The sequence below is a fragment of the Homo sapiens genome, chromosome 17 (assembly GCF_000001405.40).
Source record: "Homo sapiens chromosome 17, GRCh38.p14 Primary Assembly".
NCBI lineage: Eukaryota > Metazoa > Chordata > Mammalia > Primates > Hominidae > Homo > Homo sapiens.
Window position 1 is genome coordinate 74,463,613 of NC_000017.11, and position 24,614 is coordinate 74,488,226.

The 24,614-nt window shown below is 50.9% G+C and overlaps 1 protein-coding gene and 1 long non-coding RNA gene across 7 annotated transcripts, besides 5 other annotated features; one reads left to right on the plus strand and one right to left on the minus strand.

Annotated features, from left to right (window-relative positions):
- Window positions 1–395: 395 nt before the first annotated feature.
- LOC124904056 (uncharacterized) lies at window positions 396–4,162 on the minus strand. The gene is made up of 2 exons (XR_007065899.1): window positions 3,938–4,162; window positions 396–1,138 (listed from the first exon to the last, which is right to left on the minus strand). It is a non-coding gene; the product is annotated as an uncharacterized LOC124904056 (long non-coding RNA).
- Window positions 2,761–21,186, plus strand: CD300A (CD300a molecule). 6 transcript variants are annotated; one of them, NM_001330456.1, is made up of 7 exons: window positions 2,761–3,043; window positions 9,924–10,262; window positions 10,920–11,073; window positions 13,824–13,918; window positions 17,677–17,714; window positions 18,114–18,221; window positions 20,389–21,186. In NM_001330456.1, exons 3-7 carry the CDS (start codon window positions 10,931–10,933, stop codon window positions 20,512–20,514), a joined length of 510 nt encoding a protein of 169 aa, NP_001317385.1. In that variant the 5' UTR covers window positions 2,761–3,043; window positions 9,924–10,262; window positions 10,920–10,930; the 3' UTR covers window positions 20,515–21,186. The 6 variants fall into 6 exon arrangements, with proteins under 6 accessions (NP_001317385.1, NP_009192.2, XP_005257047.1 ...); NM_007261.4 differs by having other exon boundaries at window positions 3,022–3,131; window positions 20,389–21,182; XM_005256990.4 differs by lacking the exon at window positions 18,114–18,221 and having other exon boundaries at window positions 3,022–3,131.
- Window positions 3,514–3,573: a silencer, noted in NCBI's record as "silent region_8934". NCBI's record gives its function as "represses an Ori minimal core promoter by ATAC-STARR-seq in GM12878 lymphoblastoid cells {active_cell/tissue: GM12878}" and the evidence as "EXISTENCE:reporter gene assay evidence [ECO:0000049][PMID:35858748]".
- Window positions 3,614–3,673: a silencer, noted in NCBI's record as "silent region_8935". NCBI's record gives its function as "represses an Ori minimal core promoter by ATAC-STARR-seq in GM12878 lymphoblastoid cells {active_cell/tissue: GM12878}" and the evidence as "EXISTENCE:reporter gene assay evidence [ECO:0000049][PMID:35858748]".
- Window positions 4,034–4,163: an enhancer, noted in NCBI's record as "active region_12707". NCBI's record gives its function as "activates an Ori minimal core promoter by ATAC-STARR-seq in GM12878 lymphoblastoid cells {active_cell/tissue: GM12878}" and the evidence as "EXISTENCE:reporter gene assay evidence [ECO:0000049][PMID:35858748]".
- Window positions 15,324–15,403: an enhancer, noted in NCBI's record as "active region_12708". NCBI's record gives its function as "activates an Ori minimal core promoter by ATAC-STARR-seq in GM12878 lymphoblastoid cells {active_cell/tissue: GM12878}" and the evidence as "EXISTENCE:reporter gene assay evidence [ECO:0000049][PMID:35858748]".
- Window positions 15,414–15,463: an enhancer, noted in NCBI's record as "active region_12709". NCBI's record gives its function as "activates an Ori minimal core promoter by ATAC-STARR-seq in GM12878 lymphoblastoid cells {active_cell/tissue: GM12878}" and the evidence as "EXISTENCE:reporter gene assay evidence [ECO:0000049][PMID:35858748]".
- Window positions 21,187–24,614: the final 3,428 nt, after the last annotated feature.

Below are 24,614 nucleotides of genomic sequence, written 5' to 3' on the forward strand. Positions count from 1 at the left end.
TGGGAAATGGGCCTCAGCCCTGTGGCCTCATCTCCTCCTCCCCCTGAGTCATGTCACCTGATGGTTATCGGGACACAGCCGGAATGTGCAACTTCCGGCAAAAAACTCTCATGTTTTGTGGTTATTTTGCACCATTTTGTTTCTTCCTTTGGGTTTGTGGACAGGATGGGGTGAGCAGGATGGGCGTGGCAGGGTCTAAGTCCCCTGATCCCTTCTCCTTTGCAGTAAGTCAGGTGTTTCTCTATGTGCCTAAGGAGAATTGCATCCCATAGATTAAAGTGTAAAGCGCACTTCCTGTGGAATCCAATTTTCCTATTACCTTTCATCAAAAGTAGAGATATATTCCCTCAGAAAAAACTGACCTGAGGATGTTAAGGAACACTGACATTTCAGTATTTGTATAATCATAATAATATTTATTCCCACAGAGGAGCTGTCATTATTGACGTTTTACAGAAGCCACAGGCTTTGCTCAAGTTCATTCGGTGGTAAGTGGACAAGCCACGCCAGAACTTAGCCTTCTGCTTCTCTGTCTGGCCTGGACGTTCAAGATTGCAGCAGCGCCTTTTTGGTCATGGTTGAATCAAAAAATAATTTTTGAGAAACTTTGCAATGATCAGGCCACATAAGCCACCGAATATGACACATCTCCTGCATTTTTATGTTCAGCTCAACAGTGTCATGATCCAAAGTGTCTTGGATCTTTTTTTTTTTGAGACGGAGTCTTGCTCTTGTCACCCAGGCTGGGGTGCAATGGCACGATCTTGGCTCACCGCAACCTTTGCCTCTCGAGTTCAAGCGATTCTCCTGCCTCAGCCTCCCGAGTAGCTGGGATTGCAGGTGCCCGCCACATTTTTTTTATTTTTAGTAGAGACAGGGTTTTGCCACGTTGGCCCGGCTGGTCTCGAACTCCTGACCTCGTGATCCGCCTGCCTCGGCCTCCCAAAGTGCTGGGATTACAGGAGTGAGCCACCGCGCCCGGCCCGAAGTGTCTTGGATCTTAATGAGGTTTAGTTAATCTATGACTGCATCATCATGAAAATTTCCACAATGTCCACCAGGCTTTGTCATTGAATCTTCCAGCAGCAGAGCCCATAGGTCTCCTTGGCTTCCTGACACCTTCGTGGGCAAGGCGCCCCTGTGTTCAGAAGGAAGAGGAAAGTGACAAATTCCAAAAAGGGCCAGAGGGAAGGATATTCTTGGGATCCCATAGCTGGCACAGGGCTCCATGTGGGTGGACACTCTGAGCTTGGGGACTGCAAGCTCCCAGGTGACGCATTACACATTAGGAGTGGCATTTCCTGTGCCCACCTGGTCATTCTGTGCAAGCTGGGGCACCTACTCAAGGCACGTGTGTGAGACTGTGTGTGTGTGAGTGTATGTCACTGTGTGTGAATGTGTCAGTGTGTGAGTTTGTGTGTGAATGTGTGAGTGTATTTCAGTTGTATATGTAAGTGCGTTGTGTGAATTTGAGTGTTTCAATGTGTGAATGTGTATGTGTGTTTGTATCAGTGTGTGTGAATTTGTGTTTGTGTGTGAATGTGAGTTTGTGAATGTGTGTGGGTGAGAGTGCCTGTGTGTTTGTGTGTGTGTATATGTGTGTGTGCATGAACGTGTGTTTGTGAATGTGTGCGTATGTGTGTGTTTGTGAATGTGTGTGGGTGTGTGAATGTGTTTGTGTGAGTGTATGTGTGTGGGTGTGTGTGAATGTGTGTGTATGTGAGTGTGTTTGGGTGAGTGTGTGTGTATGTGAGAGTGTGAGTGTGTTTGTGTGTGTTTGTGTGTGGGTGTGTGAATGTTTGTGTGTGTGTGTGTATGTGCATGAACGTGTTTGTGAATGTGTGTATGTGTTTGTGTGTACGTGTGTGTATGTGTTTGTGAAAGTGTTTGTGAATGTGTGTGTGAGTGTGTATATGTGAGTGTATGTGCATGAACGTGTTTGTTTGTGAATGTGTTTGTGTGTATGTGTGAGTGTGAATGTGTGGGTGTGTGTGAATATGTGTGCATGTGAGTGTGTATGTGAGTGTGTGTTTGTGAATGTGTGTGGGTGTGTGAATGTGTGTTTGTGTGTATGCGAGTGTGTTTGTGAATGTGTGGGTGTGTTTGTGTGTTTGTGAATGTGTGTGGCTGAGTGTGTTTGTGTGTGTTTGTGAATGTGTGTGGGTGAGTGTTTGTGTGAGTGTGTATGTGAGTGTGTTTGTGAATGTGTGTGGGTGAGTGTGTTTGTGTGAGTGTGTATGTGAGTGTGTGTTTGTGAATGTGTGTGGGTGAGTGTGAGTGTGTGTATGTGAGTGTGTGTTTGTGAATGTGTGTGGGTGAGTGTGTGTGGGTGTGAGTGTGTATGTGAGTGTGAGCGTGTGTGTGTTTAGAGTCTGCACTCTGTGTGGATCAGGAAAGGGGTCCTTGCAGGCTCGCTGAGTCCCTGCTCTGTGCCCAGCCCCGAGTTGGCTCCAATGGGGCTATATAGAAAGGAAGGCATGGCCGGAGGACCTCTGTGTCAAGTTGAGGACACATTTCCAAGACTAGGAACCATTCAGGGACTCTGGAGTCACGATGACAACTCCCCTTCCCTCAGCCCCGAAGCCCAGGCCTGGACCTCCAAGGGACTCAGGGAAGGGACTCAGGAAAGGGGAGTTCCCCCTGGCAGCCTCCTCGTGGGCACCACCGAGGGTGAGAGGAGCCAGCTCAGCGGGTCCCACCCCCAGGGTTGCCCACCTTGACCACAAGGAAAGGAGGGAGGAGTTATTGGGCCTTCCACTAGGAGGAGACCCGGGGAAGTGAGAGTCGGGGATCAGTCCTGCAAGCTACGGAGTCACTACAGGGAGAGGTCTCATCACTAGAAATAGCCGAAGAACCTGCAGCCTCAACCAGCGTTAAGGAGGACGTGCCGTTTCTAGGGAGTCTTAGTCGGGGCTCACCAGCTTCCTGCATTTTCTGACCGGCTCCAGGAATAGAACCAAAAGAAGCTGAACAAGGAAGCAGCGCGGCACCAAGAAAAGCAGAAGTCGGGGCCTTGGAGGCGTGACTTTCCCCTCGGGTCCAGGTAGGGCCTGGAGCTGCTGCAAGTGCCGCCTGTGCTGGGGAAGGGACCATGTGGCTGCCTTGGGCTCTGTTGCTTCTCTGGGTCCCAGGTGAGAGTTTCCCTTCCCGGGAAAGTCTGCGGCAGGGAGGGAGGGTGCGAGGGGCAGGGCCGCAGGGCAGGTATCACACGAGACGCCCCGAGTCTGGACTCCGTGCAGAACGCAGAATGCGGTGCGCTCTGTCTACCACATAAGATGGACAGATGAAGGTCCACACCCCTGGGAGAGGAAGGAGCCAGGGCCTCTCCCGGCTCTGCACCCACGTACCTTGGCTGAACCACAGCGGGGCAAGTGATAAGGGGTGGGTGCAGAAAAGGGACCTTTTAGGTTTTCAGTTGAATTCTTACAGGAAGGGGGACGAGAGGCAGGATGTGTCAGGGTGGGTGGAGAGTGGCAGCCACTGACTGCGAGGGGCATGTGGTGAGGGTGGGGGAGATGCCGGGCTCACTGGGTGCAGGGTATGGAGGAGGGGGGTGTGGGGAGGGTGGGGGAGATGCCGGCCTCACTAGGTGCAGGGTACGGAGGAGGGGGTGGGGCGGTGAGGGAGATAGGGTCGGGGTGGGGAGCAGATCGATAGTCTCTGGAATGCGGAGATTTAACCAGGGCAGCCCAGCGGCTGGGGCCTGAGCAGGGGGAAGTCCCGAGGCAGCCTTGGCTGGGGTTAGCCCCTGCATGGGCCTGAGAACCAGGGGTCAGTCCTCTCCAAGAAGGGGATATGGGACAGAGGGGACAGAAAAGGTGGTGGGGAGGGCGAGGAGGGAAAAGATCGGGCAGAGAAGCGCTGAGATCTTCTTTAGGGAGAAGCGTGGAGTTGAGTCTTCCCTGTCCAAGCGCAGGGATTCCTCCCGCAGAGTCACCTGCTGTGCCTTCAGTCACGTCCACCGCTCTCCTCAGACAGCTCCTGTGCAGACTCCTCAGGCCTAGTCCTAGGGTATTGTACGTCTTTGTGGTTGCTTTCCTTACAGATCGGAGGTTTTCTGCAATTATATTTGCTAACTACTTGTCTGTGGGAAGGTTATTACTTTTGGTGTCTTGACTTGGAAACGGGTCATCCTCCCATAACAGGTGCTCCTGCGATTCTCTTGGGTGTTCTTCTGTTTCATAGGGTCGGTGTGCATGGGAAGGTTTCAGTTCCTGTCTAATATCTGTTTCTCTTTCTCCCATTGACTCATTGGCTGGTACAGCCGGAGTGAGGCCCAGCGGACATAGTGGTAGTGGTTGTCCCTGCCTTGTTGCTGACTCAGGGAAAAAGGACCAGAGCTTCTCATTATTAGGAAGAAGGGATCCACCAATGACTATTCACAAAGCATTTTTACTTTTATTTATTTATTTATTTATTTATTTATTTATTTATTTTTTGAGATGGAGTTTTGCTCTTGTTGCCCAGGCTGGAGTGCAGTGGCGCGATCTTGGCTCACTGCAACCTACGCCTCCCAGGTTCAAGTGATTCTCCTGCCTCAGCCTCCCGAGTAGCTGAGATTACAGGCATGTACCACCATGCCTGGTTAATTTTGTATTTTTAGTAGAGATGGGCTTTCTCCATGTTGGTCAGGCTGGTCTCAAACTCCCAACCTCAGGTGATCCACTCACCTTGGCCTCCCAAAGTGCTGGGATTGCAGGCGTGAGCCACCAAGCCTGGCCAACATTTTTATTTTTTTGAGACAGGGTCTCCCTCCGTCACCCAAACTGGAGTGCGGTGGTGCAATCACGGTTCACTGTAGCCTCCACCTCCCGGGCTCAAGTGATCCTCCCACCTCAACCTCCCCAGTAGCTGAGACTACAGGTGTGTGCCACCACACCCAGCTGGATTCTTAATTTTTTTTAGGGACAGGGTCTTACCATGTTGCCCAGGCTGGCCTCCACCTCCTGGGATCAAGGGATCCTCCCATCTTGTCCTCCCAAAATGCAGGGATTACAGGCATGAACCACCACACCTGGCCCCTACAAAACATTTTTTATTTTATTTTTATTTATTTTTTTGGAGACAGAATCTCACTCTATCACCCAGGGCTGGAGTGCAGTGGCTTGATCTCAGCTCACTGCAACCTCCGCCTCCCGGGTTCAAGTGATTCTCCTGCCTCAGCCTCTTGAATAACTGGGCTTACAGGCACCCACCACCACTGCTGGCTAATTTTTTTGTATTTTAGTAGAGACGGGGTTTCACCATGTTGCCCAAGGTGGTCTCGAACTCCTGAGCTCAGGCAATCTGCCAGCCTTGGCCTCCGGCCCCCACAAAATACCATTTTTATTATTTATAGAAATTATTATTATTATTATCCTTTCAGCTATGAAGGAGGTGAACTACATTAGGAGATCTGGTCAGATGTTTGTCTTGATTTATTATGCTGGCTTCATGGAAAGAATTAGGGAGATCTCCCTGTTTCCGTGTTCTCTGCAAATGTTTACATAAAATTGAAATTATTTGTTCCTTGAAGTTTTTAGAGAACTAGCTTGTAAAACTGTCTGAGTTTTGCTTCTTTTTTTTTGATGGAAGGGAAAGAATTTCTTAATAACACTCATCATTTTTGGTCTACATTAAAAAAAATCTAGCTGGGTGCAGTGGCTCACACCTGTAATCCCAGAATTTTAGGAGGTTGAGGTGGGAGGATAGCTTAAGCCCAGGAGTCCGAGACTGGCCTGGGCAGTATAGCAAGCAAGACCCCGTCTCTTAAAAAAAAAAAAAGTCTATTCTTGGCCTACATTGATGATTTATATTTTCCTAAAAAATCATCAGTGTCGCCCAGGTTTGCAGACTTATTTGCAGAGATTTGCAAATTTTTCTTTTGAATTTTATATCTGCGTCTTCTTTATTTTTGGTCTGACTACCTACTAGTCTAATTAATTGTTTGAGGCCAGGCACGTTGGCTCACGCCTGTAATCCCAGCACTTTGGGAGGCCAAGGCGGGTGGATCACTTGAGGTCAGGAGTTTGAGACCAGCCTGGCCAACATGGTGAAACCCCGTGTCTCCTAAAAACACAAAATTAGCCAGGCATGGTAGTGTGCACCCTGTAGTCCCAGCCACTCGGGAGGCTGAGACATGAGAGTCACTTGAACCCAGGAGGCGGAGGTTGCAGTGAGCCGAGATCATGCCACTGAGCTCTGGCCTGGGCGACAAGAGCGAAACTCTGTCTCAAAAAAATGAAATAAAATAATTAATCATTTACCCCTTACAAAAAAATCCATTTATTAATGTATATACTAACTCCACTGTTTTTCTGTTTCTTAATTCACTGATTTCTGTGAATTCACCAGTTCGTGAAAGATGACCTGGTTCTTTCTGTGTTGTGTGTGGGTGTGTGTGTTCCTCTTCTGACCTCTTGAGTTGGACAATTCAGTCATTTACCTGAGAGTTAATGGGTCAAGATTCTGTGATCTTCAAGGAAAACGTTAAGACGACAGAGGAATATCCTGGTAGAGGACCCTGGCCCCAAGGTGGTCCCCAGTCTCCTGTTTATGATTAGAGGGGTTTGGGGTGGTGATTCAGGTTGGAAGAGAGAAAGCGCAGAAACACAAGCCTGGGAGCACTGGGGATCCATGTGATCGTTCCAGGTAAGTGGGGAAGTAAATGGAGGGTTTTCTGACACTTCGCAATCTCTAAATTATAATGACACCCTCACAGGTGGAACAGAGCTTTGGGGAGATGATTGGGTGACAGTTTTTTATCCAAGATTTCAGAGAAGAGAAGTTAATCAGGAGAGAGAGAAAGAGAGAGAGCTAGAGGGAGAGAGAGAGAGGGAGAAAGAAACTAAATCCGAAGGGAAGTCAGACACTGGAGGTAGGACGAGAGACAGGATTGGGTGCAGTGGGCAGAGGTGGTGGGGTCACTGAGGTCAGGAGAGAAGCCAAAACATGGACAAAGAAAGATGACGATTCGCAGCCCAGGAGAGGCAGGGAATCGGGTCAGGACAGGGAGCAGGAACAGTGTCTTGGGTGAAGGAGGGCTGGGAACTGACAGTTTTTATTTATTTTTTTTGAGATAGAGTCTCACTCTGTCGCCCAGGCTGGAGTGCAGTGGTGTGATCACAGCTCACTGCAACCTCCACCTCCTGGACTCAAGTGATCCTCCCGCCTCAGCCTCCTGAGTAGCTGGGAATACAGGCACGTGCCACCATGCCTGGCTAATTTTTTGTGTTTTTGGTAGAGATGGGGGTCTCACCACATTGCCCAGGCTGGCCTCAAATGCCTAAGGCTCAAGCAATCCTCCCACTTTGGCCTCCCAAAGTGCTAGGATTACAGGCATGAGCCACTGCACCTGGCCTATTTATTTATTTGAGTCAGGGTCTCACTCTGTCACCCAGGCTGAAGTGCAGTGATGCGATCATAGCTCACTGCAGCCACAACCTCCTGGGCTAAAATGATCCTCCCACCTCAGCCTCCTGAGTAGCTGGGACCACACGTGTGCACCAGCACACCTGGCTAATTTTTGTATTTTTTTGTAGAGATGGAATCTCACTATGTTGCCCAGGCTCCATTTACTTATTAAGTACTTAATATGTGTCAATTTTAGTGATTTGTGTTTTTCTAGAAAATAACTTTCATCTAAGTTTATGAATTTTATGTAGAGAATTTCTGCAAAATATCTTGACTCTTCATTCTTTCTTCATCTATGGTCCTTTTCTCTTGTCATGTCTTATTTAGTCAGCCCAGAGGTTATCTATTTTTATTAGCTGGAGTCATGTGAAACCCTGTTGTCTTGGTCAAAAAGTTTAATATCAGCCATTTCATGTGATTCAACCTAATGTTATTTACCAGGCATTTTATACCTGTGATCTCATTTAACACCCTCAAAGGCCATATGAGTCAGGGACAATTGTCACCACTCTATAGACAAGGTGTCTGAAGCTCAGAGAGGTTAACTAACTTGCCCCAGAACACACAGCTGATACGTAATAGGGTAGAGATGTAAACGCAGATGGTTCTGAGGATCTTTCTGCTTTGTCCTGGCAATTGCTGCTGAGAGCCTCAGGAAGCATCACACCTGTGACAAGCTTAGAAAGGCCTTCTCTGCAGGGGGATGTGTACATCCAGGCGTGGAGAGGTTTGGGTGGGACTCTGGGAGAGGCACAGAGGAGCTTATCTTTGGGCAGCCGTGGGCTGGGTGTGGAGCTAGTGGGGTCCAGGAGAAGCTTGCACTGAAGTTTTTGTAGAGGGCCTACAGGTGCAAGGCACCTGTAGACGTTGAAGGTATAAGAAGGAGACCCCTACCAAAGTCTCATGTGTGAGGAGATTTAGCATCTGAAACAGTAAGTAAAATTAAAGAGTTCTGGCCAGGCGCAGTAGCTCATGCCTGTAATCCCAGCACTTTGGGAGGCCGAGGCAGGTGGATCACCTGAGGTCAGGAGTTCGAGACCAGCCAGGCCAACATGGTGAAACCCTGTCTCTACTAAAAACACAAAAATTATCCGGGTGTGGTGGACGCCTGTAATCCTAGCTACTCGGTAGGCTGAGGCAGGAGAATCGCTTGAACCCGGGAGGCAGAGGTTGCAATGAGCCGAGATCCCGCCACTGCACTCCAGCCTGGGCAACAGAGCAAGACTCCATCTCAAAAAAAAAAAAAAATCAAAGAGTTCTAACCCAAGGAAAGAAGAGCAAGCCCCCATCCCCACCATCCTTGAACAATATGGGGCCTAATCACAGAATTACAAGGGCATTGAGACACTGCACACACAACTGCCCAGCAGGCCTGTGCCCATCTGCCTGGGGCAGGGGCCATGTGTCCTCTGCTTGGCAGCCAACACTAGCTTCGAGCCATCACCTTACTCTCCTTGCTTTGCATCTGATAATTATTTGGGAAAATGTCAGACATAATTTTCAAGGAAGTTCATTTATTTCCGAGATTTAAGTCTAGGAGAGCTGGGCAAACTAAGGTAAGACACAGGATGAAAGTTTTCGTCAGCAAGCCTTCTGCGTTTGTGACTCTTTTTTTTTTTTTTTGAGACAGAGTCTCACCCTGTCACTCAGGCTGGAGTGCAGTGGTGCCATCTCAGCTCAACATAACCTCCGCCTCCAGGGTTGAAGCGATTCTTGTGCCTCAGCCTCCCCAGTAGCTGCAATTACAGGCGCATGCCACCACGCCCAGCTAATTTTTGTATTTTTAGTAGAGACAGGGTTTCACCATGTCGGCCAGGCTAGTCTCGAACTCCTGGCCTCAAGTGATCCACCCACCTTAGCCTCCCAAAGTGCTGGGATTACAGGCATAACCCACTGTACCCAGCCAGTATTCTTGTCAAAATGGCTTGACAACCCTATTACTGCCCGGGTTTGCCCCTTGGTGGGACCAGATCAGTGTGTGGGCCGGTCTTCCTCTTGCAGGGTTGCCCAGGGCTGGGGTGGCCCTCCCGGGAGTGCAGGTGCTTAGGGGTGAGTTCTCATGCTCCTGGCAGGTTTGGAAGCAGGAGGCCCCTGGTGGGTGAGAGGGGTGGGAAGGGTAAGGGAAAGGAGGCAGGGGGCTGGAGAAAGGGGCTACTATGAGCAAAATCTTGAGGGTGGTAGAGCAGAAAAGAGAATACTCAAGCTGTGATCTGGCTGATGGGGCTGATATGAGGTGAAGGAGTCAGGGGCTGAGGGCTGGGGGTGCTGATGTGGAGTCGGGGAATCTTTGGAGGAGGTGACTCCAGGGCACCCAGCCTGAGCTCTTCCGGTCTCCATGGAAAGCCTCTGCCCCATTCCCACCTGTGTGCGGAGGTAGCCTCTCATCCTCAGTCCCCGCTCCTGGGTGGACAAGGCCTCTCTGCCTGCCGCTGCCTCCTCCACACCCCCAGGGTCCATGCGGCCCTGACCCCAGGGCACCCCTGACCAGGCTCATCTGAGGAGGAGCTGGGACTCTGGCTTGTGTTTTCCAGGATGTTTTGCTCTGAGCAAATGCAGGACCGTGGCGGGCCCCGTGGGGGGATCCCTGAGTGTGCAGTGTCCCTATGAGAAGGAACACAGGACCCTCAACAAATACTGGTGCAGACCACCACAGATTTTCCTATGTGACAAGATTGTGGAGACCAAAGGGTCAGCAGGAAAAAGGAACGGCCGAGTGTCCATCAGGGACAGTCCTGCAAACCTCAGCTTCACAGTGACCCTGGAGAATCTCACAGAGGAGGATGCAGGCACCTACTGGTGTGGGGTGGATACACCATGGCTCCGAGACTTTCATGATCCCGTTGTCGAGGTTGAGGTGTCCGTGTTCCCGGGTGAGCCCCTCCTTCCCTCAGCGCCTAAATAGGCTCAGGTTGGAATTGTTGGGGCAGGAATCAGATCAGAGACGTGAAGCAGACAGTGTGTGTGTGTGTGTGCGTAAGAGAGAGAGAGGTGGGGGCCAGGGGAACACAGTCAGGGGGTCTCTCCTGGAGCAGCTGACATGTCTGCCCAGTATTGAAGAAGGGAAGGGTCCAGTGACAGGGAGGCTGAGAGAGCGTTGCCTGTGAAGGAGCCAGGAGCGCACCTGTGGCTCAGCCCCAACGGAAGTGCAGCTGAGTGGGGGAGGGGTGGGGCTGAACAGAGAGGCTGGGGGGCCAGATGGGAAGCTGCTGTCCTCAGGGGGAGCCTTACCACATGACAGGTCAGATTTGCAGTGTAGACAGACTCCTCTGCAGCATGGAGTTTCGCAGGAGCACCTGGACCCTCATCAGCAGGATGGAAAATCAGGACCACTGGGAGTGGCACCCGTGTCCTGTTCAGAAATGCCCAGTTGGCCCAGGAGGGTCCTGGAGAGACTCTAGCCCCAGGGTCCTGCATCCTGCCCCCTTCCTTAGTGGGCAGTTTGTGTGAAATCAAACCAAAAAGGCATCCTGAGTGGTGGGAGAGCCAGAGGACAGCTCCCTGGGTCTGACTTGTGGTTTTGCCACCAGCATCAACGTCAATGACACCTGCAAGTATCACTGCGGCCAAGACCTCAACAATCACAACTGCATTTCCACCTGTATCATCCACTACCCTGTTTGCAGTGGGTGCCACCCACAGTGCCAGCATCCAGGAGGAAACTGAGGAGGTGGTGAACTCACAGTAAGCACCCTAGCCCCTGAGACATGGAGGGGGCCCTGTGCTAAGAGGAGGAGCCCAGGGCGGGGACCTTGGCCATGTGGGCCAGCTGGAGGTGTGCATCGCTCCCTTTGCCCCAGGCCCAGGTTGGAAGCCATAGTCTGAACACCCCGGCTTGGACCTGCCCTTGGCTTTGGAAGGGGGCTCAGGTAGGGGGGAAGTTGGGGGGCAGATGGAAGGAAAGTGATAGTTACTGACAGCTGGTAACATCCTACGAGGCCCGTGTTAGATGCTTCACATGAGTATTCTCACTTGCCTTTCACTGCAGCCCTGTACTGTTGTCATTCCGTGTATTAGTCTGTTTTCGCACCGTTGATAAAGACATACCCGAGACTGGATAAATTATAATGAGAAAGAGGTTTTAATGTACTCACAGTTCCACATGGCTGAGGAGGCCTCACAATCAAGGCAGAAGGCAAAAGGCATGTCTTACATGGCAGCAGGCAAGACAGAGAATGAGAACCAAGCAAAAGGGGTTTCCTCTTATAAAGCCATCAGACCTCGTGAGACTTATTCACTACCACAAGAACAGTATGGAGCAAACCACCCCCATGATTCAGTTATCTCCCACTGGGTCCCTCCCACAACACGTGGGAATTATATGGGAGCTACAATTCAAGATGAGATTTGGGTGGGGACCCAGCCAACCCACATCAATCCCCATTTTACAGATGAGTAAACTGAGACTCAGCGAGGTGAAGCAATTTGCCCAGTCAAGTAGCTACAAGAGGCTAAGGCTAAGCTTCCAATTCTGGTTTATGTGACTCCAGAGCCTTGAGTTCTCCTCTCTAAATAGTGGTTCTTAACCTTTTTCGGGTTCACCAACCCCACATAGAATCTGACATCTATGGACACTCTCCCCAGAAAAACACATGCAGTCACAAACCTTTTCTGGGATTCACGGACTCCCTATTCTAGCACAAAACCCCACAATTCCATCCTGGCACTATCCACCCAGAGTTAGTGCAGACCCCACAGGTGAAGAGCTTCCACATCTAAATCAGATCCCACAAGACCGCCCTGATTTAGATGCCAGTCGAACTTTGGGGATCCCCAGGCCACCACACTTCTGACCAACTGGATGCAAATTTGGGGGTTCCCAGGACCCCCCCAGGTTCAATAATTTGTTAGACTCAGAACTCTGGAAAGCATTATACTTACAATTACAGTTTTATCATAAGGATAAAGGATAAAGATTAGGACCAGCCAATGCAGAGACACATAGGACAAGGCTTGGGAGGATTCCCAAACAGTTTCTGTGCCCTCTCCAGGTGGAATCAGGGAGCATCACCTGCACCCTCCCTGCGGCACCTCAATATATTTATCAACCAGGAAGCTCCTCCAAGCTTTGGTGTCCAGAGTTTTTATTGGGGTTTCATTACATAGGCATGATGTGATTGAACTGTCTCCACCTCCAGTCCCTCTTTGGGAGGTTGGGCTGGCTCAGGGCTCCAAATCTCTAATTACGTAGTTGGTCTTTCTGGTGACCAGCCCCATCCTATTGTCTCATCTCTTACCAAAGTCCAGGTGTGATTCATGAACAACAAAGACACTCCTAATTTTTGGGACATTCCAAGGATTTAGAGCCTCCCTCCTAAGAGCTAGGGACAAAGGCCAGCCAGATTCTTTACTGGACAACATCCATAAACCCCTCCACAGGCTTCTGCCAACATATAAGACAAGGCAAAATTCAGGCTTGAACATGCCACTTCCAGAAGTTTAGCCTGTAGATACACATAGGTGGCAGCGCTGAGTTCTGTGGGGCCTGAAGGTTGTGCAGTTTGCGGGGTGGGTTGGTGGGTGGGTAATCTAAGAAAAAGATGAGAAAATTATGAATGCAAACGTAGGCATGAAGGAAAGGGCCCAAGCAATGGAGGGACCTGAAGCTGGGCTGCATCAGCCTCCTGGTCAATCTGCTGCTGCGTGGTCAGGTGTGAAAAGGTGGAGCTGCAAGGCGATTTATAAGCAACGTTTACCATTGCAAAGGACTGGGGAAATGCCCATTCAGTGGGAACATTTAAATAAATCACAGTCTATCCATGTGTTGGAATACCCTGCAGCTATAGGAAAGAGTGAGGGACTTCTTTATGTACTGACGTGGAAAGACCTCTAAGATGTATTGCTAAGTAAAACCAGAATAGTGTTAGACGAGGCCTCCTTTGTGTGAAAGAGAAAGGAGATCCCGTACATTCGTATTTGCTTGTATACACATAAAGAAACTCTGGAAGGTTCTTAAGAACAGCACGTGTGTGTATGTGGGGAAATTGGGGAATGTGTAAATGGGGGGTGTGTAGAAAGGGGGCTTTATACTGTCTATTTTTTTTAATTGACCTTATCTATCTACTTAAAAAGTTAGAGAAGGAGACCAGGTATATTGGCTCATGCCTGTCATCCCAGCATTTTGGGAGGCTGAGGCAGGAGGGTGGCTTGAGCTCAGGAGTCTGAGACCATCCTGGGCAATATAGCAAGATTGAGTCTCTACGAAAAATTTAAAAATTAGCCGTGGTGGCCTGTGCCTGTAGCTGGAGGCTGAGGCAGGAGGATCACTTGAGCCCAGGGGTTCAAGGCTGCAGTGAGCCATGATCACCACTGCACTCCAGCCTGGGTAACAGAGCCAGATCCTGTCTCAAAAAATAAAAATAAAAAATAAAAATAAAAAAGTAAGTTGGAGAAGGCAAGTTGGCCCCGCCCTTACCATCCTGTGCCTCCTCCAGGCTCCCGCTGCTCCTCTCCCTGCTGGCATTGTTGCTGCTTCTGTTGGTGGGGGCCTCCCTGCTAGCCTGGAGGATGTTTCAGAAATGGATCAAAGGTGAGTTGGCTCCCCACACCCCTCTGCCCCACCTGGGGTGGTCAGACCCTGACCACAGACGCTCATCTTCAAAGCTATGTCCACGTCCCACAGTATTGCTATGACATGTGACACCCAGACCACACATCCTAGGTGATCCTACAGGGCAGGTCCCATGGGAGGCATCCTTGTGCGTGGTGGTTACAGGCTGTGAGAGGTGGCTCCCAAGCAGGAGGCTTTCCCACTTCCAGGCCAAGGGTGGTTGCCCCATGAAGCAATGACCCTCTTCTGTTTAAAACCCTGGCATGGTGTGCTGGGTGCAGTGGTGTGCATCTGTAGTTCCAGCTACTCAGGAGGCTGAGATGGGAGGATTGCTTGATCCCAGGAATTCAAGACCAGCCTGCGCAACACAACAAGGCTCCCGTGTCTATAAGATAAAATAAACCCTTGCATGGTCTCCCCCACCATAAAAAGTCCAGGTATCTACAGGAGTCACTGCCCTCCACGATCTGGCTCTACCCACCTCCCTCTCCCCATCCGCGCACCCTGGAAACCAACTTCTTGTATCTCCTTTAATGACAGCCTCAACCTCAGCCTCTCCTCTCCTTCTGGGTTTGCTCTGGGCTGGAGGGCCTCCCCTGCCCCCTCTCCCCAGCTCACTCCCAGTGGACTCCAACAGTGGTCCTCAGACTTTCTTTTCTCTGGGACCTTTTCTTTGACTCCAAAGAGTGGCTTGGGGCCCCTCCTGGCTATACCTCTGCTGTCACAGCCTTTTGGGAACCAGACTGTCATTGCTGGTGTCCTCATCTGCCTTCCCACAGGCATGTGCTTCAAGGAGGTACAGAACCAATATTTGTCAAATTAATGTGTTATTCAGTATCTCCAGCTGCAACGGGCACCCCAGGGGCCTCCAGGCAATCTCTAGTCCAGCTGCCCTCCTCTGAGCTCAGATTAAAAGAGAGAACAGGAACTCTTGGCACTCAGTAAGTAGATGCTCAATAAATAGCTGATAGGCAAATTGAATAAGCACAGGAACAGAGGAACAAGTGGAGGTGTGGCCACCAGTCCTCTAGATTGCAGATCCCTGGCCGAGGTCAAGTGTAAGCCTGAAGCTTCCTCCCTGTTCGGAGAGTTGAAGATTCCACAGGCAGAAGATTCTCAGGGGAATCTTTGTCCAAAGCCTTCCAAGACTGCAGTGAGACTGGGGTGGGAAGAGATGGGGTTATCCTGTCCCATAGCTGCAGGATAAGCTGCTGCATGCTTGGTGGGGGGCACTGCTCACACATATCCCCAGTGCCTCCTGTGGCGCCCAGGCTTTTGGCGGAGAAATCAGCCTCAGTAGATCTGTGCAGGGTGTATGGGAAGAAAACCACTTCCTCTTTCCCATCTGCTTTGTGTGTGTCATTTTCTGGTAATCCCATCCTAAACTTCAGCACCCACGTGGATGCCACTGGGTTGTCTCAGTTCTGAGCCCCTTTCGGTTTCCTTTGTGCCCTTTCACCCAGAAAGTCTCTGGCTCCTCAAAGAGCCTCCTCCCCCCTTGAAAAGGATGTATGTGATTATTGTAGGAAGTTTGAAAAATGAGCAAAAGCACAAAGAAGGAAATAAATCCCCCATCATCGATGATAACTAAAAACCCCACCACCTAGAGAAAACCAGCCACTGGCCCCTGAGGTATATCCTTCCAGTCTTTTTTTCTATGCCTATGTAAATGCATCTATGATTTCTTTTTTTTTCTCTTTTTTGAGACAGAGTCTCACTCTGTCACCCAGGCTGGCGTGCAGTGGCATGATCTTGGCTCACTCCAGCCTCGACCCCCCACTGCCCGGGGCTCCAGTGATCCTCCTGCCTTAGCCTCCCAAATAGCTGGGACTACAGGTGCTCACCACCACGTCTGGCTAATGGTTAAATTTTTTTTTTTAAGAGATGGGGTTTCACTATGTTGCCCAGCCTGGTCTTGAACTCCTGAGCTCAAGCCCAGAGTGCTGGGATTACAGATGTGAGCCACCACACCCAGTCATGCATCTGCGATGTCTTAACAAATTGGCCTCATACCACTCATTCTCTTTTAAACCTACATTTTTGCACTTAACATATGGTACCATGTTCCCAGCTAGTAAATGTTCTAAAAATCACAGACGCAGAGTTTACTGGTGTCTTAAGCTTCCTGTAACCCATCCTCAGTAACAAGATAAAGGCTTTCTATTCAAACATTTTTGACTCTCTGTCCCCTGCTTTGCAAGTCCGTGCCCCATCCCCTGACTGTGTGGCTGGGGCTGACTTCCCCTTGCCCTGCCTGGAGCCTGACACCTGCCTCATCACACCTACTCCCCACTCTTTCCCCCAGCCCACATTTGTCGTTCATTCATTCGTACAACAAAGCTGTCCTGAGCACCTACTGTGTGCCAGGCCTGTGCTGGGCCCTGGGGACAACATTGTGACTGGGGTAGACTGGGTCTTACCTTCAGTGAGCTTCCCCTACCGCTGGCTCCCCCAAACCTTCTCACTACCACCCTCCTTCCCGGGCGTTGAACTCCTGTCTCTTCCCCACCAGCTCTTTTTCTCCTTCCCATCAGAACACTTGTCCCAGGTGGGGACAGGGAGGGCAGTGTGGTGCCTGCGCACAGCACTTGGAAGCAGGGCACTTCGCACCCCAGAGTACCCGGCTGCGCACTCCATTAGGTCAGCTGTGGCTCAGCAAGCCCGTCACTATACGTGGTCTTGTGTCTCCCAACCGTGGGCTCCTCCCCTTTAATTCTGGGGGAGGAGCCCACAGATCCCCACAGCATCCAGTGCAGTGGGCTCTGGGGTTGCCTGGCTGTGGACCTAACCAAGGGCATCAGCAGCGTGTGTGTCACCCGCTGCCCACGTGGTCCGGGCTCCTGGGGTGAAAGGGTTAGGGTGTACAGGGCTGTGCTCATAGGCAGCACCCTTATAGAGCAGGTGCCAGCAGCCAAGGGCTGTGTGAGCCTGAGCTGGCGTCCCTGGGGCTGACAGGCCTCCTTCCCTACGGCCTGGGGCAGCAGGCAGGTGGGCTGTCTGGGAGGGCAGACCTCAGGCACGGGGATGGGAGCAGAGGCCCCAGCAACTTCCCACAGTCTGATGCAGCCCTAAGCCCCAGATGCACAGGGCTTTTCAGTGGCATCCTTCCTCCCCTGGAAACATTTGTGTGAGATCCCGTGTTGAGAGCTTGTTTTGGTCCCTCTCCTCCAGCTGGGAGCTTTCTTTCCTTTCTTTCTTTCTTTTTTTCGTTTTTGAGACAGAGTCTTGCTCTGTTGCCCAGGCTGGAGTGCAGTGGCATGATCTCAGCTCACTGCAACCTCCGTCTCCCAGGTTCAAGCGATTCTCCTGTCTCAGCCTCCCAAGTAGCTGGGACTACAGGGCGTGTGCCACCATGCCCAGCTAATATTTGTATTTTTAGTAGAGACAGGGTTTCACCCTATTGGCCCGGCTGGTCTCGAACTCCTGACCTCAAGTGATCTGCCCTCCTCGGCTTCCCAAAGCACTGGGATTACAGGCGTGAGCCACCGCACCCGGCCCAGCTGGAATCTTTCTATTTCTCCATTTATTCACTCATCCTGTGCTCGTTCATTCATTTACTAAGTCACTAATTCACTCACTCAACAAACCCTTGAGTTCCTACCATGCTTCAGGCCTGAAGGGATAGGTCCCCAGGGCTGAGGTCTCTAGGGAAAGGCCTTTTCCCAGAAGGCTTGTAAGGTCCTCCATCCTGGCCATTGTTCCGGGATTCAACCTCCTTCCTCTCCTCTTGTCTCTAGCTGGTGACCATTCAGAGCTGTCCCAGAACCCCAAGCAGGTAAGGGGGCTTTAGCAGGAGGTGTATCAGGTGGCTGGGCGGAGGGTACAGAGGCTGCTGGGGAGTTGGACAGTCCCATCGGCCAACGGAGGTTGGATGGAGCGGGGAGCTCACCCAGAGCAGGACGAATGATGCTGGGAGATGTGGTCACTAGGTCTTGTTCTGAGTCCTGGCCAGCCTGTCCCCTCCCCACCAAGGCAAATGGAATGAAGGGAGGCCCTCCCAGCCAAGCTGACCTGGGGAACATTAAACTACTGGACGGAGTGGGGTGGAGGCAGGAAGGGGAAGGTGGGGGCTGAGGTGCTCAGAGCATAGAGGAAGGGGAGACACATGCAGAGACGCAGGGACAGAGGCTGCAGGGCTCCGTGGACACCCACCTGGGACCTCCTGCCCACCCAGGCTGCCACGCAGAGTGAGCTGCACTACGCAAATCTGGAGCTGCTGATGTGGCCTCTGCAGGAAAAGCCAGCACCACCAAGGGAGGTGGAGGTGGAATACAGCACTGTGGTAAGTGCAGGAGCCCGGCTTTTGGGCATGCGGCCCCTGGGCTGTGCCAGGGCACCCCTGGGAGGGTGGGCAGAAGGGGAAGGAAGGGGTCGGCTTGGTGATCTTGTGCCTGTCAGGGACAGGGCCACATGGAGATGGAGCAAGTGTAGATTTTGCCAGAGCAGAGGTCCTTAGGAGGGCTTGGTGTCATTGTGGTGGGGGGTTTTTGGGGGTGGCCAGCAGCTATGGCTCTGACAGTCCGTGAAGTCCAGCATGGGTTAAGCACCTGCTGTGTATCGTGAGCCAAGCTGAGAACCTGTGACTTCTCACTGTTTTGGTCTCATCATCTCTTTGACATCAATTCTGCTTTCGGGTTTTTGTCTGTGACCCGCTGTGGGTCAACCCTTGGGCGCAGCCACCTTCAACTGGGATGATGGGATGGGGGCTGCCTCCCTGGGTCGTGACCCACCTGCTAGTGGGAGAGTTCAAGCAGAAGCTGGGGGTCACTTGGCAGAGAGGATCGGGAGGGATGTAAGCATCAGCAGGGAAGCTTAAAGTGCCCCCAGGCCTGGGAGCTGAAGAGGCCCCTCAGACAAGTCGTGTGGTGCCATGGAGGGCTGGCACCAGGGTGACAGGGGACATTGTTGCTGGTCTGCCTGGAAAAGTGGCCCAACTCCCTGGGATATCTCCAGCCTGGTACCGTTCTCCCCAGGCCGCCGTTTTGCACCTGACAGGAGAAGAGGGGATCCAGACCTGCCACTTCCGGGTCCCCTGATAGCCGCACCGTTCCCCAACCTCCCGCCAGCTGTCTGCATGAGGATGAGGGTGGTCTGGGGGCCCAGGGTCCTGGATGGCTCCTGGCCAAGTTCCTTCCTTCCTTCCTTCCTTTCTTTCTTTCTTTCTTTCTTTCTTTCTTTCTTTGGAATCTCGCTCTATCCCCCAGGCTGGAATGCAGTGGCACAGTCTTGGCTCACTGCAATCTCTGCCTCCCAGGTTCAAGCAATTCTCCTGCCTCAGCCTCCAGAGTAGCTGGGACTACAGACACCTGCCACTACACTGGCTGATTTTTGTATTTTTAGTAGAGACGGGGCTTCACCATGTTGGCCAGGCTGGTCTCGGACTCCTGACCTCAAGTGATCCGCCTGCCCTGACTTCCCAAAGTGCTGGGATTACAGTACTGAGCCACCACACCCGGCCAGCTCCTGGCCAAGTTTCTGAGCGCCCCTGCACTCAAGCCTGACTCCTTCCTTGCATGACATGATCTTGTGTCCACGAAGCTGCATGGCCTGGGACCAGCAACAGCCTTGTTCTAACTTGTTGTCTCATGATTTAAAGTGGATGGCACATGGTCTTACTCTTCTCCCAGCCCCCTTGGTACAAGTTGGGACTCATGCCCACAGTACAGCAAGTTAATCAGAGCTGCAGGGCCAACGCAGTACCCCTGTACTGGCTTCAACTCCACCTAGAGAACGAGGGGTCCTCTGCAGAAAGGGATCCATGGCTGCTTCGTTGTGAGAACTTTCCTTTTTTTTTCTTTTCTTTTCTTTTTTTCTTTTTTTTTTTTGAGACAGAGTCCCACTCTGTCGCCAGGCTGGAGAGCAGTGGTGCAATCTTGGCCATTGCAACCTCCGCCTCCCCGGTTCAAGCGATCCTCCTGCCTCAGCCTCCCAAGTAGCTGGGATTACAGGTGTCCACCACCACGCCCAGCTAGTTTTTGTATTTTTAGTAGATACTGGGTTTCACTATGTTACCCAGGCTGGTCTCAAACTCCTGACATCAAGTGATCCACCCGCCTTGGCCTCCCAAAGTGCTGGGATTAAGGGCGTGAGCCACTGTGCCTGGCCTCAAGAATATTTCATTAAGAGAAGCACAGAGGTGTCTTGGGGGAGCCCAGCCAGGTCTCAGGGCCTCAGTTTCTTCCCTGTAGAATGGACCAGGCTGGGTCAGCCCTGAGGAGCCCCCGGAGCCTCCTGCCTCTGATGCTGGGGATGTTGTGCTGCTGCTTGCCCAGTTGGGGAGGAGCAGCTGGGTGGACAGGATCATAGAGAAAAAGAGGCCAGGACAGTGGAGCCTCTACAGTGAGGCCTCCCCAAAGCCCCTCAGGTGTCCTCCCTCCTCCATCCTATGTTGGGGGTCCTTTCTTCCCTTGCCTCTCCCAAGTCTTCAGTTTCTTGGTTTCTCTCTGCAGGCCTCCCCCAGGGAAGAACTTCACTATGCCTCGGTGGTGTTTGATTCTAACACCAACAGGATAGCTGCTCAGAGGCCTCGGGAGGAGGAACCAGATTCAGATTACAGTGTGATAAGGAAGACATAGGCTTTTGTCCTGCCTCGCCATCGGAGCTCTCATGGGCCCCAGGAAGTCCAGGGACAGCTCCCTTATACCTGGCCCACGTCCTTCTCAGCCTGCCCTCGACAACAGTGACCAACAGACAGGCAGCTGGGTTTCCCAGGCCATCCCTCTGTTGCCATCAGCTTGATTGGCTTCCCCGAGGGCCAGCAGGGCTGGGGGCTCCGGAGAGCAGCAGGAAGCACTCCCAGCCACCAGTGCCTGTCACCTCTTTCCCCTTTGCCCCTGCTTCATCCCAGCTCTGTGTGTGGAGGACAAAGCTTCTTCCTGCGTGGCTCCAGGAAAAGATGTGGCTCACGTAGGTGGCACCTGCCAATAGCTTTGTCAATCACAGCCCCATAGGAACGTCTGGAATTGCTTGGGAGTTGGGGAGAACTGTCAAGAAGAGTGAAGAGAGTGCCAAAGCGGAGATCTGTTCACCTGGGGGCCATGGAGGGGGGACCCACTAAAGATCAAGATCAAAGATTCTCCCCATCTCACAGACAAGGAAACTGAGGCCAGAGGGAGGAGAGAATTGCTCATGGCTCCAGAACTGGTGGCAAGTTTCTCTGGACTCTTAGGTTTATTTTTAATATGAAATATAAAAACAGTTTCAAATATCTTATTGAGGGAGAAGTAAAAACTTATTTAAACAATGCCTGCTATGTGTCTGCAATCCTCTGCAAAAGAAAGCTCCCAGCTTTGATACCAGATGAGTGCAGAGAAGCCTTGTGGGTGCAGTGGGTTGGGGACATCCTAAGAGAAGTCCTCACTGAGTGGGAGAAGGTGGGTCACAGCTGCTTCTTGCCATGATGTCTGTTTGCTTGTGTGTTTTTTGAGATGGGGCCTCGCTCTGTCCCCCAGGCTGGAGTGCAGTGATACGATCACAGCTCACTGCAGCCTGGAATTCTTGGGCTCAAGTGATCCTCCTGCCTCACCCTCCTGAGTAGCTGGGACTACAAACACATGCCACCATGCCTGAATTTTTTTTTTTTGTAAAGATGGGGTCTCGCCATGTTGCCCAGGCTGGTCTTGAACTCTTGGGCTCAAGCGATCCTTTTGCCTTGGCCTCCCTGAGTGCTAGGATTACAGCATGAGTCACCATGCCTGGCAGTTTGCATGATGGAAAACACAGCAGTTTTCTTGTCGGGAGATTTGAAATTTAATGCAAAGAGTTGTCCAGGCTGTCTTGAGTCTGTGGCAGCTGCCAACAGCTTTATGTTTTTATTTTTTCATTTTAATTTTTCTTTTTTAGAGGCAGGGTCTCTCTGTGTTGCTCAGCCTTGAACTCCTGGAGTTGTGCAATGTGGACTCCTGGATCTGAAAGGTGAGGCTGCCATGAAGCCTATAATGTGGGTCGGGGCTTAGACATGTGCCTGGTACGGAGGGGAACCCAGAAATAGTTGTTGACTTCACTTGAATTGAGCCCGGTCACGTTTCAGTCCTGATCTGCAGTAACCCTTCTCAGGTTCCTGTTTCCAGAGACAGAATTCCACAGGGTGGTTTAAAACACAGAGGTTCGTGGCACCAGACTGACTCTAAGACTCAGGGGATTGTTCGAAGGACCCCTTCTCCTCAATGGGAGTGAACTTTAATTCTCTGAAATAGTATTTTCTCTTTAATTCGGTCTAAATTTCTATCAATTAGAAGTAAGTCCTCTGTAAAATGCAAATGTCTAGGCTATCAGTTGGTTGTCAATGCCGGCTGCTATAACTACCACAACCTCCACAATAAAACTGGGTGGAGTGGCGGGGTGAGGCTGGGGCAGGAGGGTATTGCAGCCACAGCCACACGCTGGCCCCAGCCCCCTGCCCCGTCAATCTCTAAGGCTTGGTGGTGGAATAAGTTCCCCGGTATAAACCATTTGCCCTGTGGAAGGTGGCAGCCCCTTGGGAGTCCTTCATGTCATTTCCTTGCCAGAGAGTCTCAGTTGGGACCACCCCCATTCTCCAAGGAGGCCTCATAGCAGGAGGGAGCGGGCTGGCTTGCAATAGTCTTCTGGAAGTCTTACTGTCCAACTCCCTTCCAGGATGCTCTGCATACCAAAGGACACTGGGAAGAACCATCTTTGTCAAACCAGAGACAGGGTCTTCATCTGTTGCCCAGGCTAGAGTACAATGGCACAATTATTGCTCACTGCAGCCTCGAACTCCTGGGTTCAGGCAGTTCTCCTGCCTCAGCCTCCTGAGTAGCTGGAACTACAGGCATGCGCCACCACACCTGGCTAATTTTTTGTAGAGACAGGGTTTCATCATGTGGCCCAGGCTGCTCTTGAACTCCTGAGTTCAAGCAATCCACCCACTTCAGCCTCCGAAAGTGCTGGGATTATAGGCATGAGCTACCATGCCCTGCCCACACTCAAAATTTACAGGAGAATATACAGTGAAAAGTTGGTCCCTTTATTTCTGTCACCAGGCATCCAGAGATAAACAAGGTTAATAGTTTCTTGTGTTTCTCCCCTGAGATAGTTAATCATTTGCACATATATCCATGTATATACGGCCTATATGTATATGCTCCTCCCCATTCCCATATGTGGGGATATCCTCCCCATTCCCACCATTCCTGCACAGTAGTATTTTCATGTCACAACCATCTTGGAGATTATTTTACCTTCTTCTATAAATGCTGCAGAACATCCCATAACATTCCATTGTTTGTACCATGACATACACATGCCATTTTGCACATTTTCATAGACAGCTGAAGGGTAAAGTTGGAGAAATTCAAAGTCCGTGCACTTGTAATTTTGATAGATATTGCCAAGCATATGGCAACTTTAAATAGCAATCTTTGGCCAGGCATGGTTGCTCACGCTGAATCCCAGCACTTTGGGAAGCTGAGGTGGGTGGGTCATTCGAGGTCAAGAGTTTGACACCAGCCTGGCCAACATGGTGAAACCCCATCTCTACTAAAAATACAAAAATTAGCTGGGCGCAGTGGCATGCACCTGTAATCTCAGCTACTTGGGAGGCTGAAGCAGGAGAATTGCTTGAACCTGGGAGGTGGAGGTGGCAGTGAGCCGAGATCATGCCATTGCATTCCAGCCTGGGCAACAGAGCAAGACCCCATCTCAAAAATAAATAAATAAAAAGGAAAAAAAAAGAAATAGCAATCTTTTTATTTATGTATTTATTTTTTGAGACAGATCTTGCTCTGTCACTCAGGCAGAGTGCACTGAGAGTGCAGTGGCTTGGTTACAGCTCACTGCAGCCTCCACCTCCTAGGCTGAAGCAATTCTCCCACCTCAGCCTCTGGAGTAGCTAGGACTACAGGCTCAGGCCACCATGCCCGGCTAACTTTGTTTATTTTTTTCTGTAGAGATGAGGTCTCACTAGGTTGCCCAGTTGGTCTTGAACTCCTGCACTCAAGTGATCCTCCTGCCTCAGCCTCCCAAAGTGTGGGGATTACAGGTGTGAGCCACCATGCCCAGCTTGAAATAGCAATCTTTAATTTCCACCTTACTAGTTATCCCTCTACACCCAAAACTGACGTATTAATTTTTACCAAGTGTATTAGTTTGTTTTCATGCTGCTGATAAAGACATACCCAAGACTGGGCAATTTACAAAAGAAAGATGTTTAACTGGACTCACAGTTCCACCTGGCTGGGGAGGCCTCAAAATCATGGCAGAAGGCAAGGAGGAGCAAGTCACATCTTACATCAATGGTGGCAGGCAAAGAGAGAGCTTCTGCAGAGAAACTTCCATTTTTAAAACCATCAGATCTCATAAGACCCATTCACTATCAGAAGAACAGCATGGGAAAGACCTGCCCCTGTGATTCAGTCATCTCCCAAAACAAGTTGGAATTATGGGAGCTACAAGATGAGATTTGGGTGTGGACACAGAGCCAAACCATATCATTTCACTCCTGACCTCTCCCAAATCTCCTATCTTCACGTTTCAAAACCAATCATGCCTTCCCAACAGTCGCCCAAAGTCTTAACTCATTTCAGTATTAACTCAAAAGTCCACAGTCCAACATCTCATCTGAGACTAGGCAAGTCCCTTTCACCTATGAGCTTGTAAAATCAAAAGAAGTTTAGTTACTTCCTAGATACAATGGGGGTATAGGCATTAGGTGAAC